This window comes from Homo sapiens, chromosome 2, assembly GCF_000001405.40.
Source record: "Homo sapiens chromosome 2, GRCh38.p14 Primary Assembly".
NCBI lineage: Eukaryota > Metazoa > Chordata > Mammalia > Primates > Hominidae > Homo > Homo sapiens.
The window spans coordinates 96,939,886-96,956,093 of record NC_000002.12 but is presented as its reverse complement, the minus strand read 5'-3'; the positions used below and the strand labels follow the sequence as shown (position 1 = coordinate 96,956,093).

Here is a 16,208-nt window from a genome sequence, read left to right as displayed (position 1 = left end):
CTCACAGTATTTGCAAGGACATTGGGGTGTGCGTTTGTCCTCTGGGTGCATCTGCCACTGTTGGTGCGAGGACCAGCGTGCTTTCCACAAGCCCGATGCATGGGCCAGGCCGTTCCTCCATGAATATCCAGCAGGCAGGGGAAGAAGGAGGTGGATGAGGCTCAGCTTCTCCCGGAGGCCCGGCAGCCCCGCCTCTTGTTTTGCCACTAGCTTCTCTTCCTGGAGGAACAGGCCAGGGTTGAAGCCCAGGTGCAATAAACCCAGCAGTTCTGAAGTATGGAGAGGGCTGAGCCTTCCAGCTGGCTGCATCTGCCCCCCAAAATAAAGAGCAAGCGGAGGTAGCAAGCAGGGCCATTATGGGATCCCTGAGTTTCTGCCTGTGGTAACACTCGCTTATTTATTTATTTATTTTTGGAACGAAGTTTCGCTCTTGTTGCCCAGGCTGCAGTGCAATGGGGCAATCTCAGCTCACTGCAACCTCTGCCTCCCAGGTTCAAGCGATTCTCCTGCCTCAGCCTCCTGAGTAGCTGGGATTACAGGCGCCCACCACCACGCACGGCTAATTTTTTTTTTCTTTTTTTTTGAGATGGAGTCTTGCTCTGTCTCCCAGGCTGGAGTGCAGTGGCGCAATCTTGGCTCACTGCAAGCTCCGCCTCCTGGGTTCACGCCATTCTCCTGCCTTAGCCTCCCGAGTAGCTGGGCCTACAGGCGCCCACCACCACACTTGGCTAATTTTTTGTATTTTTTAGTAGAGACGGGGTTTCACTGTGTTAGCCAGGATGGTCTCGATCTCCTGACCTCATGATCTTCCCACCTTGGCCTCCCAAAGTGCTGGGATTACAGGCGTGAGCCACCGCACCCGGTCTCGCATGGCTAATTTTTGTATATTTAGTAGAGACGGGGTTTCACCATGTTGACCAGGCTGGTCTTGAACTTCTAACCTCAGGTGATCCACCTGCCTTGGCCTCCCAAAGTGCTGGGATTACAGGCATGAGCCACGATGCCCGGCCAACACTCATTTTTATTTCATTTTTTTCTTGTTTTTAGTCAGGCCCATGCTCTGCTGCCCATGCTGGAGTGCAGTAGTACGATCACAGCTCACTGCAGCCTCCAACTCCCGGCTCAAGAGGTCCTCTTGCCTCGGCCTCCCAAGTAGTTGGGACCACAGGTGTGCACTACCATGCTTAGCTAAGTTTTGTATTTTTTTTTAGAGACAGGGTCTCACTGTGTTGCCTAGGCTGGTCTCAAATTCCTGGCCTCAAGCTATCCTCCTGCCTGGGCCTTCCAAAGTTCTGAGATTATAGACATGAGCCACTGCATCTGGCCTCTCTTATGTTTAAACAAAGAAAGAGAAAGCAAAAGGCCATAGGTGAACGCTTTGGTTGCTATTGGTTTCTATTGTATTTAGGCATTTTATTCAGACTGATTTGAGTAACTTGGCAAAGGCCCAGGAGCTGATACGTATAAATAACTACACTTGGTGTTTATCCTTCGGCCATCACTTGGGATTCTAAAGGCATTTAGAGACCTTGCCCTCTGGGACTGCTGCCCATAAAATAAATGAGGAGGTTGAGGCGGGAAGAATCTTCCCTTGGGTGTGATAAGGAACAGAAATTCCAAGATGAAGCTGGTCAGAGCTCTGCTTAGGAAGGCCCGTGTGCTGAGCCCAGCTGCCCCCATTTCCTGTCACTGGTTTTGCGGGTTTCCCCGTTGTAGCTGATGTCCTTCCCTCGCTTCCTTCTGCTCCAGTGGGCGGCGAGGGTGGAGGCAGACACCTGCCCACTGTCATTGCTGTCATGGCTGGGGATTAGCAGCTCCCTCCTCATCTCTAGTCACAGCTGAGGACTCCGATGGGAACCTCCCTTCATGGGATCCTCAGGTCTGACAGCTGGGGGCTTCCCACTCAGCCAGGCCTGCATGGTATCTGCTGCCGATGGAGGCTCTGTCCCTCTGTCTCTCCCTCCAGGGCCCTCCAACATTCTCAGGATAACTTCGGACCTCAGCATTGGCTTGGCCGTGGACAGAGGCACCCCCTTGGACCCAGCATCCGTGTTCTTGATGTGGGGACGTGACTCTGACAACAGCCAATTCTGTCACCCAAGGCGTTTGAGCTTTCACTGCACACACCTCCCACCCCCTTTCCTTTTTCCCTTTTCCTCCAGGCTTCCCAGCCCAGGTGCTGCTGTTGGGATCCTCCTCCTTTCCCCAGAGTTAAGGCATTGTCTGTGCACAAGGCCCATTCCCTGCCCAGCAGCCAAGCTTGAGGTCACCCTGTGATAACCTGAAGGGCGTGGAAGGGCTTGTGGCTGAGCCAAGGAGAAGCAGCACTCCCGTCCCACCGAGCATGCACTCGGCCTGCAGAGGGGAGTCCTTGCCTCTAACCCTAAACACAGAATTCCTTGAAAGCCAGTCACCTCAGGGCAGAGCAGGACTATGTCCTTTCTGGCTTTCTGTTGCTCCTGGTCCCATAGACAAAATTTTCTCAGCAGCAATGAACTCAGAGGCCAATCAATCATTTCTCTGGCAGAAACTGCAAAGCCCACATAGCAGAAGGGAGATGTTGCAACTGTGGGGTCTCTCCCTTGGAGCAGCAGTTAGAAATGTGTTGATCTGAGCCAACAGGGCCTTGTACAATCAATTCTCCCACTAAGAAACTGGCGGGGTGCCCCCTCCAGCAGAATGCCAGAGCCAGCGTCTCCTCAGAGTCCCTGAAGCGCCAGCCTCCTCACCACATGGCCCTTGTCGGGGTTCTGCCAACTTGCAAGGTCCTCCAGACATTGTTTACATGGGTATTGTCTGCGTTCGGGCTGCTGTGCATGTTCTTGAACCATGCGTCTTGCTGGGGTCAGTCCCTGAAAGTCTCCATGTGACCGGGCACGTGGATAGAATGGAGCATGCCAGCAGTCCTGGGGTGCACGTGTATTTGTATGTACAAACGAAGGTCTATTTCAGGGTGGTAAACTTCACAACCACAGGAACAAAGCTGCTTTCTCCTCTGAACTTAAATGACTTAGAGAAAAAACATGCAATTTGTAAACTGCCTGGACATTCTCAGAGAGACAGCAGCTTGGCTCAGAGGATAATCTTTGTTTTGTAGCATTCTGTTCCTGGCAGATTAAAAAATGATGTCCTTTTTAAAGGAGAAGGAGGAGAAGCAGAAGGAGGAGGTTGGGCTGACTGAAAAACTTTTTATCTAGGGTGGCAACGTTAAGTACTTTCTGAAATGTTCTTTGCATGCATTTGGGCCATTAAAAAGAAGAACAAATGTGACTTACGTTTTCATTTCCTGGAATCCATGTTAATGATCTTTGGGACGTGGTCTAGAGAGAGCAAGCAAAGATGGTGGTCACAAAATGCGCAGGACGTAGGAGAATCCTACCCCAAACCCAGGCTCTCTGGGGATGACCAGGAGCTCAGGAACGGTGACAAAGTCCAGCCAACCCCCTATAAAATGACTTCTGAAGCACCTTCTACCAGAGGCCCTACAACCATATGAAACATTTCAACAACTCATTTTGCAAAGATCTGGAATCTTGTAGGTCAAGGTGATCTACCGGGTCAGTGGTCCCCAAGGCAGGGCTCATCTCCACACCAGCGCCGATTTTGAGAGCTCCTGTTAGGAGGAAGAGGCCCGAGGGGGTGGTGTGAATGGGCACACGGTCACAGCCACAGCCGCGTGGCTGGTCTGAGCACGCCCCCATCCCTGGAATCTGGGACACTTGCAGCTCACATGGTTTCTGAAGAATCCTCTATGGAACTCTTGTTTGGTATTTCCTTCCCAGAATGTCTTCATCCCGGGCCCCTTTCTGTTATTTTCCGGTCTTCTCAGGTGTCCCCTTTGTATCTGAAAAACATAAGGCAGAGCAGAAACGCCCTGTGTAACCAGATCGCGAGACGCTGGCCTCGTGGGGGTAATCGTGCCCGCCCCTTGCAGCTGGAGGAACCCGAGGCTAAGACACCCACTCCTGGCCTCACTCCTCACCTTTCCACACCCTTGGCAAATATTCCACTTTCCCCTGTGGTCAAATGGAAAGGGCAGACTGCACTGCCCCACCATGTTTTTTTGTTTGTTTGAGACGGAGTGTTGCCCTGTTGCCCAGGCTGGAGTGCAGTGGCATGATCTTGGCTCACTGCAACTTCCACCTCCCGGGTTCAAGCAATTCTCCTGCCTCAGCTTCCCGAGTAGCTGGGATTACAGGTACATGCCACCATGCCTGGCTAATTTTTGTATTTTTAGTAGAGACAGCGTTTCACCATGTTGGCCAGGCTGGTCTTGAACTCCTGACCTCGTGATCTACCCGCCTTTGCCTCCCAAAGTGCTGGGATTACAGGCGTGAGCCACTGCCTCCAGCCACCCGCCATGTGTTTTAAACACCATGAGGTGTGTTCACGCAACATTCAAGAAGAGCAGGTGATTCTGATGCTAGCCTGGGTTCTTTTCCTTCTGACAGATCATGCACTGAGGGCTTGAAAAGCACATTTGTCTCTAGCGTTACAGATATGCTTCCCAACAGCCAGTGAAGCTGGGTAGTGACAGCCTCCCGCGGTGTCACCGAGACAAGTGTGCTGGCACAGAGGCCTCCCCTAACCTCAGCCCTCTGCCTCCCAGCTCCCCGCCAGCCCAACAGCTCTCCTTCCTGCGCAGTGGCCTCCTGAACATCCTCTACCTGCACATGCCTGACTGCCCGGTATCCCTGCTCCAGTGGCTGTTCCAGGTGAGGACCGCAGGCCTGCCACTAGGTGGCGGGAGCGCTGCAGTCTGGTGGCCCGGCAGGCCCACAGGCTGAGGGGTGGGCACTTCACCTCTTCTTGCCTTAGGTGCTGCTTGGCTGGGCTCAGGCTGGGAGGAGGGAGGAGAGCTGATTGGGCATCGATCCCCACAATGGTGCTAAGAATGCCAAGGCCAGGGAGGTGCAGGGGGTTCGCCTGTGGTCTCCCAGAGCGGCGAGCGCTGGGAGCCTCTGCTTCCCCCGAAGGTGTGTGTCTCTGGGTGCTGCCTGTGCCCTCACGTGGCTTTCCTGAGGGACCTGGTGTACCCAGTGGACTTACGGTCTAACCTCTCAGTGAATCGGTCCAAGCCCCTCAACAAGTGCTTCCTATGCAACAAAGCTAATTTCTTCACCAGCGATCACAGGTCCCTCATCCCATACGCAGCGGGAGGGCCGTTCAGGGCCCACGGCAATCCTGCAGTGCCTGGTTTGGATCCCTCGTGAATTTGGAGCCGAGGGTGCTTGGGCGTTTGAGCGTGTGCTTCCTGTGTGCAGTTGTAGCTTGGCTGGGAAAACCTGGAACGGCTGCTCTGGCTGTGCTGTTTTTTCCCTCCTGGTTGCTGCTAGAGCGTTTTGCCATAGGGGAACATACATTTTGCCCAGGGCTTGACACCTTTGCACAGAGAGAGGCAGTGAGAAGCCAGCAGGGACAGGAGCCAACCGCTGTGATCTGAATGCCAGGCATAAGGATGCCGTCCTGGCCTTGGTCCCCACCCAGAATCGTCCCTGTCTGGGGACAGGTGGGTCACAAGTTCCAGCTGGTCCCATTCCTGCCAGTTGGAGCCTGGACCCCAGCTGTAAATCAGAGCCATCATGTGGGGCGGATTATTCCAGGAACTGCTTGGCCTCGGCAGGCTGGCTGCAGTCCAGAGAGAGCCCTCCAGCTCTCCCTTCGTGCTCTGGGTCCTTCACCTTGCTCCTCCTTACCCCGGAGGAGGAAGACATGCAGCTTCTGGGGCCCTGGTATGTAGCTGCTAACCTTGTCAGCCCCCAATCCCCCACCCAAGGCCCAGAAGGAGCAGTGGGTGAGTAATGGGGAACAGTGGGGCCATTATTCCCCACGCTGGCGGTGCAGCCCCTGCTCCTTGCACAGTGTGTGACGGAACACACAATCGAGCATTGGGAGGCACAAAGGACCCATCTGAGACGGCACCCACAGAGGGGCCCTGCGTCACCCTGACACTGGCGTGGAGTGCCTTCCCGGGGGCGTGTCGGTTTCTTCCAGGTTCAGAGACCCCCATCCTGGGAGGCACAGACGAGCCTTCCCCTGCCTCTTTCCCCGTCTCCATCATGCTGCGAGGGGGCTGGAGGGGAGAGGAGTGCAGGACCCAGCCCTGAGGTCAGACAGACAGACTTGGTGTGAGTTCTGGCCCTGCCACCTACTCCTGTGTCGCTACAGACAGGTTTCTTAGCATCAGCTCTGTGCCTCGGAGCCAGGCCTGATGGGCCCATGTGGAGTTAAGTGGGACATCCGTGAGCTGCCTTGTCCTTGTGCCCCCACAGAGCTCTGCTCTGGGCCTGGGTGTCCTCTGTGAGGCACGCTGTTAGTGCAGAGTTCCAGTTCACATTCTGCAGGAAGGAGAGACAAAAGCTCCCATCCCCCATGGCTGAATCCAGATCCATGAAAGGGGTGCACTGGCTTTGGGGGGCCTTCTGGGCAGTGTCCTCAGGGGACTTAGAACCTCGAGCAGTTACTGGGGACTGTGGTTGTGGGAGGCAGAAACCCATGGGGGCTCCCTTCTGCAGGTGCGAGGGTGGTTCCTGAGGTCCCAGGGTAGGGGCATGCTGGGCCCCAGGAGGAGCTGGACCCAGGGATGGGGAAGGGTTGGGATCCTAGGACTGGCCTCTGCTGCTGTCTCCCTGCAGGTTCCATGGCCAAGTAAGGCCAGACCCTTTTCCCAAATCTGGTTCCTCAGGAAGGAGAATCTGGTTAGGCTAAGAGGGGTTAAGTGGTCCCCTTGTCCAGTCAAAGGCAACTCGGGAAGTGGGGTCCCAGGGCTGCTGGGGCCATGCCTGTACCTGGGGTCCCTACTGAGCCAGGGCGTGGGTGAGGGGGGCAGACTGCTCCAACCCTGCTCCTTCGATGTTCTTGGAAAGGACAGCCTGAGTTCTCTCTCAGGGACTCGATCCCGTGTACTCCTCCCTGGGGCTTTAATAGGGTGTGCATGGGCACTGGCTGAGCTGTGCCCTCGTGTGGGCCAGCCTTGCCGGGAGAGTGGACATCAGCAGGAGGTGTACACCCTCAATGAATGTATGTTCTTGTTGGGAGAGACTCAAGTGTTCAGCCATGAAAATGTTGTAGGAAGTTACAACAGGAGGAGAAAGGCAGAGTTCTAGATGCCGACCGGAGGGCATCCACGCAGGCTTACTGGGGGGGGCGTGCTTGGGAACCACACCTGTGAGGGAGGGAGAGTATTTGCCCCCAGGAGTCCCACTGGGCTCTGGAGCCCGGTGACCCCTTTAGAGTTGACCCAGTTGAGGCGAGGTCTCCAGCCTCGGCCAATTATCAGACGCAGACACTTGGTGAGGGCTGTGACCTTGCACTAGGTGCTCCCTCCAAGGTCAAGGCTCAGAGAGGGTCCTGGGCTCAGGGCCCTGGCAGCGACACTGCCCAGCCCCTGGAGGAACAAGAGCCTCAGTCCTGAAAGGAGATGTGCCCACAGTGCCCACAAGGCAAACTTTTCTGGGTACTGGGGAGGAACGATGTCATGCACAGCATGGCTGCCACTGTCGTGAACTTGGTGAGTGCCCCTAGACCAGATGGCACCTGTGGGCTGCTGCTGTCCCATTGCTTATTCCCTTGTCAGCCTCTCTGCATGTTTCCAAACCCCAGCTTCTGACTGTCAGGCTCCAGGAGCATTCAGATAAGGATCCCAGAAATGACCACCCTGCCCTTGTTTGAGGACCTGTGTTCAGTACCAAGGACCGTCTAAGCTGGTGGTCTCAGATGACAGTGTGTTAAGGCGCTGACCTGGAAATGATTTGAGGATCACAGAGAGGGCCCACCCTGTGATTGTCCTGCTGCCTGTGATGAGTGCAGGCATGCTTTCTCTCCCCTTACGCTGGGCCCTGCCCTGGAGGGGCATGGCTATGACCACAGGGAGCGAGGGGCAGAGGGACCAAGACCCCCATGCCAGGAGGTGGACGGAGTAGGAGGTTTCAAGTGGCACAGACCTGGGTGTCTGGGCCTGAGTGCTGGCTTTGCCGCTCAAGGCTGTGTGACTCTGGCAAAGTTGTTTGACTTCTCTGAGCTTGGTTTTCCATCCTCTAATTGGCAACAATGACAATGTCCTTCTACCACACAGACTTATGAGAATTAAATGGGATTTATTTAACGTGGAGTAATAGAAGTTTGCTACTATTGCTTCTTAGGAATGACCCAGCTCACCAGGTTTTTGTTTTTGTTTTTTTTTTCCACCTAGCTGCTGACATGGCCTCCAGAAACATCTTTGGGAGCCTTTGGTCTTCTGTGGGATCTCATTGTGGATGGAATCTTCCTTCAGCCTGGTCAGTACTGGGATGCAGGGTGGAGATTGGCGCACTGAGCTCCCAAGCCTGTGATACGTGACTCTCAGTGCCCAGAGCCCAGCTGCAGGCGAGATGCTGGTGGGACATTGCATCCAGGGTGTAGAGGCATCAGGCCATCTTTGGCTCAGGCTCCAGCATTAGTAAAAAGCTGAACCAACAGGCTCCTCGGCACCTTGAACTGGCCTCAGATCTCAGCCCCTGTGGCCACGGCCAGGCTGACCTCACAGGCTCTTGGGATCCCAGAGCAGTCCAGGACAGTGGGTTCAGACTGAGACAGTCTCTAGGTCTGAGGGGACAGCTCACCCCCAAGTCCTTCCTGAAAGCGCCGGTTAGCTTGAGAGGGTTCCAGGAATATCCGCATCAAATCAGGGTGCTCCTTGGGTTGGAGTCACCAAAGGGAAGAGTCTGAAGCTGTCTCCCTCACTGACAGCCTTCTTTGGCTGATAGGACATCCACAGTGCCCCTGAGTTTGGTCTGGGTGGGAATGAGAGCCTCAAGCTGGTGCCTTGGTTGTGGCATTTAGGAGGTATATTTAATTCCTCTTTATAATGCTTTTGGATGTTCAGAGTTCCACAGAAGGAATTAATTTCCCCCCCTAGTGGCTGCACCCTCCCTAGACTGTCATCATTTGGTACCTGAACCTAGACACTTTGGCACCAAAAAATATCATGTAACCAGTTGAAAGTTGCTTAAGCAGACAGTAAGAGGGACTCCCAGGTGGTCAGACCCCGCCTCTGCCCCAGCTGTAGGCTGCTCACCCCAGAGCAAGAAAGCACATGGCCCTGAAGGCCAAGGCCAAGGATGTACCATGAGCCCCCAGCCCTTTAAGTTTCTGCTTTTGTGCCTCTTCTGCTTCAGGAGTTGGCTGAGCTGGAGCCATCTGTCAAATTAGAGCATTCCAGACTCCTCCGCCCCTGCCCTCCATGGAGCCCTCTAAGCGAGGTCTTCTGAGTAGCACCAGTCTCAGTGCCCTCTCCCTTTTCGTAACCTCTGCCCCTGTAGCCCCCGATGCACTTTGGAGCCCCAGGGGCCGCCTCTGCGGCATGCCTGCCCTTTAGGGGAACAGAGGCTTCCCTTGTCCTGCTCCCTGCAGTGGTATGTGTCTCCTCCGCTGAGGCAGAGGGGATGCCCCACTCTCCTTTGCTTCTTGCCACGTTGTCTCTGATGCGCTCCCCATTAGGAAGGATCAGAAACAAGCTCTTGAGTCCCCTGTCAGCTTAGCTCTGGCTCTTCTAACTCCAGAGCATCTCCTGTGGCCACTACCTGAGAGCCCAGCCTGGGATTGTGTTTCCCTGCCCAGGGGACCAGGGACTGGCCTACAGAATTCCATGCCTGGGGTCGGGATCTCAACTGGTATGGGGAAAGTGAGAGGCCCGGTCCATTAGAGAACTGAATGCAGGGACTTGAGCAGATAGTTGCGTACCCAGGTTCTTAGCAGCATTGTTCACAATAGCTAAGAGGTGGAAGCAACCCAAGTGTCCACCCGTGAATGGATAAACCAAATGTGGTACATACATACAGTGGAATATTACTTGGCCTTAAAAAAGGAAGGAAATTCTTTGAATGTCCATGATGTATTATTTTAAAAAAAGAGGAAGGAAATTCTGACACATGCTACAAGATGGATGAACATTGAAAACATTACGCTGAGTGAAATAACATACAAAAGAACAAACACGTATATGAGTTACCCAGGGTAGTCAAATTCATATTCCATGTATATGAGGTACCCAGGGTAGTCAAATTCATAGAGACAGAAAGTGGAATGGTGGTTACCGGGGGCTAGGGGAAGGAGAGAGTGGGGAGTTACTGTTTAATGAGTACAGAGTTTCAGTTTTGCAAGAAAAAAGAGTTCGGAGATGGATGGTAGTGGTGATTGTACTACAGCGTGAATGTACTTACTACCACTGAACTGTGCACTTAGAAATGGTTAAGATGGTAAATTTTATGTTATGTGTATTTTACCACAACTTAAAAAAAAGCTAGGTCAAGAGCAAAAGGGCCAGGTGCCCAGAGAGAATCTGCCAGGAGTCAGGACTAAAGATCAACTGCCATTTCAGGAAGCATTTCTAAGGTTAAATTAGATCCAGGATTGATGCAGAAGGAAGTCATTTCCTCAGGGTTTCACTAATAGCCTAGGGCTCTGAGTGTCTGAGAGGACAGCAGGCCTCTGGGGCACAGAGCTCAGGATAGACTGGGGCTGCCTCCCTTCACCCGTATCTATGATTTGTGTGTGCGCGCGCACGTGTGTGTTTGTGTGTGTGTGTTCAAGCCGCTTCTCATATGTAAACAGGAGATTTGTTTGTGTGTAAACTTCCATCCTTTCCTGGAGTTTGTGGTGACCAGCAGTTCTTCCCAGACTATCCTAGGGAGATTCTTACGCACTTGCCTTTATCCCAACCTGCTGAGTAAGGAAAGAGTTGAGGGGACCAGGACTTAAGAGCATTGACTATTACGGGTGTGCTCTAGTGACTGGGGCTGAGGGCCCGAGTGTCCCAGGGCACTCTAGTGTGTGTGTGGGGGGTGGGGCGGTAACGGAGAATTGTATTCCTGGATTGAGAAGCAACACGTGTACATGTCAGCTGTGCAGAGAGCTCAGTGCACTCAGAGAAGGGATACTCTGGCACATTGCCATGCCTCATTGCAGTGAGCATTCATTTATTCAGCAAAGACACATTGAGCACCTCCTTCCTCAAGCACTTCGCTAGATGGCAAAGAGAGGATCAGGGATTAATAAAGTCCTGTTCTCAGGAGGCTAATAGGTGGGAGGGGATTAAATGAGCAGCGACCATCAGAGACAGAAAGGAGGCAACGGGAAGAGGAATTACTTGTAGTCAGGTAGGTTTGGGATGTGGGGAGGCAGGAACCAGGAAGTGCTTTGTAGAAGATGAGACAGTTGAGCCATCTGTACCAGAAAGCAGAGACTGCAAACTCAGTTGCCTACGGGGACTGAGTGAGCAAAGTCTGAGAGCTCCTGCCTGATGTAAAGGGGCTGTCCACATCAGGTTTGGTGCAGGTAAACGCAGGTCTGGTATTCCCAAACCTCTTCATTTTCAAGAGAAGCCACATTTTAGTTAGGTCGTATTTTGACTATTGATAACAAATACCAAGAGCAGTTTGTTAGCTCACATGACAAGGAATTCAGAGGCAGGTGATTCTGTGACACGTTCAGTAGATGCGCAGTCTCAGGGCTCTGGATTCTGCATGTGTCTTCTCACTACTTCCTCTCCGGGTTGCAGAATGGCTGCCGTAGCTGCCACCACCACTGTGTTCTCAGGAGACAAGAGTGTTCAAGGCAGCAAAGGAAAGGATGGGACATACGAGGTCACTGCTTCTCATACTTTCCCCTCTTTTTATCAGAACAGTTTTTCCATTTTGTTTCATTAGAACTGGGGTCACGGGCTTTAGAGGTCACTTGCCATGTTGTTTGTCTGTCCAGTGCCCTTTGAACATCACGGCTATGTCTGAAGAATTTCCAGCCTCATGAATCCTATCCCTTTAGGGTTGAATGCATGAGATTTACTCTTCCAGTCTTTTTTTTTTTTTTTTTTTTTTGAGATGGAGTCTTGCTCTGTCGCCCAGGCTGGAGTGCAGTGGCACAATCTCGGCCCACTGCAAGCTCCACCTCCCGGGTTCACGCCATTCTCCTGCCTCAGCCTCCTAAGTAGCTGGGACTACAGGCACCGCTACCACACCCGGCTAATTTTTGTATTTTTAGTAGAGACAGGGTTTCACCATGTTGGCCAGTCTGGTCTCGAACTCCTGGCCTCAGGTGATCCACCCACTTCAGCCTCCTAAAGTGCTGGGATTAGAGGTGTGAGCCACCGCGCCCAGCTGGGATATAGATGTTTATGTGAGATGTCCTGTTGGTAACTAACTCAGTTAAAACAACAAGAAAAAACCACCGCGAACCCATCTGCAGACTCCATTCAATTCAGACCACTGATCTGCAGCCTTTGGGCGGAGTATCAGGGTATACAGGGATGCAAGGGAAGCAGGGAGCAGTGGGAACAAAGACGAGGTGGAAGAGTAGGGGCTTTCCTTGAAGGGAGCAGAGGAGGAAATAAGACGAGGTCTTGAAGGCCAGGTCTTGAAGGATAGTGGGGGCCATTGCAGGCACAATGGAGCTTTATTAATATTTGTCAAGACCAGGATGGAATGGTTGGTTGTTTTAAAGATACAATTCACATAACATACAACTCACCCTTTTAAAATGTAAGATTCAGTAGTTTTTAGTATACTCAGAGTTGTTGAATCATCACCACTGTCTACTTCCAGAACATTTTCATCTCCCCAAAAAGAAACCTCTTAAAATGTGCTATATCCATAAAATGGAATACTATTCAGCCATAAAAAAGGAAGGAGTGACATATGCTATAACATGCATGAACCTTGAAAGCGCTGATAAGAAAATGGATACGAAAATTTCATGCCTATTCTGAAATGTCCAGAATAGGCAAATCCATAGAGACCAAAAGTTGATTAACAGTTGCCAGGAGATAGGGGAAGAAGGAATGGGGAGTGACTGCTGATGGGTAAGAGGTCTCTTTTTTACCAGATATGTGATTTGCAAATGTTTTCTCTCATTTTGTGGGTTTTCTTTGTAATCTCTTGATAATGTCCTTTGATGTACAAAATTTTAAAATTTTGGTGAAGTCCAACATATCTATTTTTTTCTTTTGTGGTGTCAAAATTACTGACATCATTGTCTAATCTCAGGTCATGAAAATTTTCACCTATGGTTTCTTCTAAGAGTTTTATACTTTTAGCTCATAAATTTAGGTCTTTGATCCATTTTGAGTTCATTTTTGTATGTGGTTTGAGACAGGAGTCTAGCTTGGTTCTTTTGCCTATGGATATCCAGTTGTCTCAGCACCATTTGTTGAAAAGACTGTTCTTTCCCTATTGAATTCTGTTGGCACCCTTGTTGAAAATCATTTGACCATAAATGTAAGGGTTTATTTTTGAACTCTCAATTTTATTCCATTGGTTTATATGTCTACCCTTATGCTAGTACTCTAAATTTGTTATTACTATAGCTTGTAGTAAGTTTTAAAGTTGGGAAGTATGAGTCCTCTAACTATACTTTTTAAAAATTTGTTGGCCAGGCTCAGTGGCTCATGCCTGTAATCCCAGCACTTTGGGAGGCCGAGGCAGGCGGATCATGAGGTCGGGAGATCAAGACCATCCTGGCTAACACAGTGAAACCCCGTCTCTACTAAAAATACAAAAAAAAATTAGCCGGGCATGGTGGCAGGCACCTGTAATCCCAGCTACTCCGGAGGCTGAGGCAGGAGAATGGCGTGAACCTAGGAGGCGGAGGTTGCAGTGAGCCGAGATCGCACCACTGCACTCCAGCCTGGGCGACAGAGCGAGACTCCGTCTGAAAAAAAATTGTTTTGGCTGTTTGGGGTCCTTTCCATTTCCATGTGAATTTTAGGACCAGCTCGTCAATTTCTGCAACATTGAAAGCTGGGATTTTAATAGTGATTGTCTTGGATCTATAGATAACTTTTGGGTACTATTGCTATCTTAATAGTAAGTCTTCCAATCCATGAACATGGGATGTCTTTCCATTTATTTAGATCCTCTTTAATTTCTGTCAACAATGTGTTGTAATTTTCAGTGTACATGTCTTACATTTCTTTGGTCAAATTTATTCCTAAGTATTTTATTCTTTTGGTGCTGTTATAAGTAGAGATGTTTTCTTAATTCCTTTTCAAATTGTTCATTGCTCATGTGTAGAAATACAGATTTGTATATATTAACCTGCTGAACTTGTTTATTAGCTGTGATAGTTTTTTTGTGGTAGAATTTGGTTTCGAAGGCAAACATACTCTTGTGCAACTAGTTGATTAAGAGAAATGAAATGACCTCAAGTTTCTTTAACAAAAATGTTTTAGCTGAGCTGGTATATGACTGTCCGTTAACCTAGTGCCAGTCTTGAAGCAATGTCTTCGGAAAAGGAGCTCTATCAGCGAGATCAAAACGCTTTAGAAAGGAGTAGAGCTTGCGTAGGTTCTTTTCCATTTGCTTCCAAGACAATTGTCCATTTTTACCTACCCATTTCATTCTCTGTTGGCTTCTATAATATTTGTGTAGGAGGAGGGGGATATAATAAAATAGAATGACCCTGGCCAGTACATTCTTTGGATATTTTGAAAGTGGGCGAGACGTTCAGCTCCAAGAACAGAATTCATTTCACGTTCTTGAGCAGGGTCTTAGGACACTTTGTTCTTCCTCACTTGATCATGCTTTTCCCTTTGTTCTCCTCGAGCTCTGGCCTCGTGGCCACTGGGGCCTTGGGTTTCCGTACAGGCCTCATTTTGTGGGTTACTTTCTTTTCTGCCGTTGCCTGTTGCATTCTCTTTCCTTCATCTCTCCCTTCCTTTCTTTATTCCTCCTTCCCACTCCTCCTCTCAGAAAGCATTCATAAAGTTGCTTCTTGTAAAAGGAATAAAATGGAAACAAGATGGCCAGCAATCTTACCACCCAGGTAACCCCTGTTGTTATTTTTTAAACTACTCTCTGTACCAAGTTTAGCAAATTTAAATAATAGAGAAAGATGCAAAATAAAGAGTGAAAGTCTTCTTGCCAGCCACTCCCCACAACCACTTCCTCCTCCCAAGTACTCATTAGTACAGTTTCTTGTGATTATTTCCCGGCACAAAATGAATACACAATACACATTTCATCTATATTTGTATGTTTATATGTTTATCTATACCGTATTTCTTTCGCCACATTAGTATCCATCTGAAATTACCTCCAGTGCCGATTGCTCTTCCCAGAGTTTCCCAGTTCTCCCCACTGGTGTCTGGAGAGGCCACAGCCTGCACAAGGCAGGTCAGGTGGGGCTTTCTAGACCACAGGTCCGCCGAGTGAGGGTCCTGGAGGTGGGATGAGCCACTGGGGTGCAAAAACAAAAAATTAATACATATTTCTGTTTTAGCTCATCCGTCTTTAAAAAAACTTATTGAGGCATAACTGAATACATTAACTTGCAGACATTTGAAGTGTATAATGTATACACTTACATATGTGCCTGTAAAATCATTGCCACAATTGAGCTAGTGAATATATTCCATGGCCCCCAAAAGTTTCCCTATGCCTCTTCATGATTGATCTCTCCTCCACCTCTTGTCTGTAGGAAACCACTGATCTACTTTGTCACTACAGGTTCGTTTGTATTCTCTAGAATTTTATATAAATGGAATTATGCAGTAGGTACTCTTTGTGGGCTGTGGGTGGGGAGGGTCTGGCACATTTCACACGGAATAATTATTTTGAAATTTAAGCAGTCTTTAGTCTATCAGGTTGACACTCTCTGTTCTTCACCATCTTATTAGGAGATGTCCTCGCCCCACCCGATCTGCCTCTCTTGTGGTTTGCAGGACAGCCTCCTGCTGCAGGAGGTGGGAAGCGAGCCAGTCAGAGCCCCTGGAGTGGAGGCCCCACGACCTTCTCATCTGCAGGTCGCGTCTCCTGTGGCGGTGGCAGCAGCAGCTGCCCATATGTGTGGAGCACTTAAGTGCCTGGGCCCTGGACCCCATACCGTTCTCATGCCGGGTGCCCTTTACTCCCTGATTCCACAGGGCTGGTCCCATTGTCCTCAGGCCCAGAGAGGCGGGCTGGGATCCAGGTCTGCCACGCCAGCTGCACTCAGTCCCCGTGCTGGTGCTGTGAGAATGTTGTCTAGACCCAAATGGGCAGGAAAACACTTGGAGGACCACCCAGGAGACCCCAGGGCCCAGCTCCCTCAGAGCTGTCATGTGCTTGGCATAGTCCTTTCAAAGTCTCCAATTAGAATTTGATAACAGTAATTCAGCGTCATAATTGATCTCTGTTTTTTAAAAACATTATTCTTGGATATGATAATAAAAGCAGTTTAATTGAAAATAATAGGTGACA

General features: G+C 50.4%; 1 protein-coding gene across 1 annotated transcript in view, besides 2 other annotated features; it reads left to right on the top strand.

The window, feature by feature from the left end:
- FAM178B (family with sequence similarity 178 member B) overlaps positions 1-16,208 on the top strand; it is a 110,696-nt gene that overhangs the window by 30,487 nt on the left and 64,001 nt on the right. The window contains exons 7-8 of the mRNA NM_001122646.3: positions 4,610-4,715; positions 8,192-8,276. Of these exons, the coding sequence (NP_001116118.2) occupies positions 4,610-4,715; positions 8,192-8,276 (191 nt within the window). The remainder of the gene's footprint in view (positions 1-4,609; positions 4,716-8,191; positions 8,277-16,208) is intronic.
- Positions 4,791-5,430: an enhancer, noted in NCBI's record as "H3K4me1 hESC enhancer chr2:97616401-97617040 (GRCh37/hg19 assembly coordinates)". NCBI's record gives its function as "activates a minimal SCP1, AML or CMV promoter by ChIP-STARR-seq in naive H9 embryonic stem cells {active_cell/tissue: H9 hESC(naive)}" and the evidence as "EXISTENCE:reporter gene assay evidence [ECO:0000049][PMID:30033119]".
- Positions 5,431-6,072: an enhancer, noted in NCBI's record as "H3K4me1 hESC enhancer chr2:97615759-97616400 (GRCh37/hg19 assembly coordinates)". NCBI's record gives its function as "activates a minimal SCP1, AML or CMV promoter by ChIP-STARR-seq in naive H9 embryonic stem cells {active_cell/tissue: H9 hESC(naive)}" and the evidence as "EXISTENCE:reporter gene assay evidence [ECO:0000049][PMID:30033119]".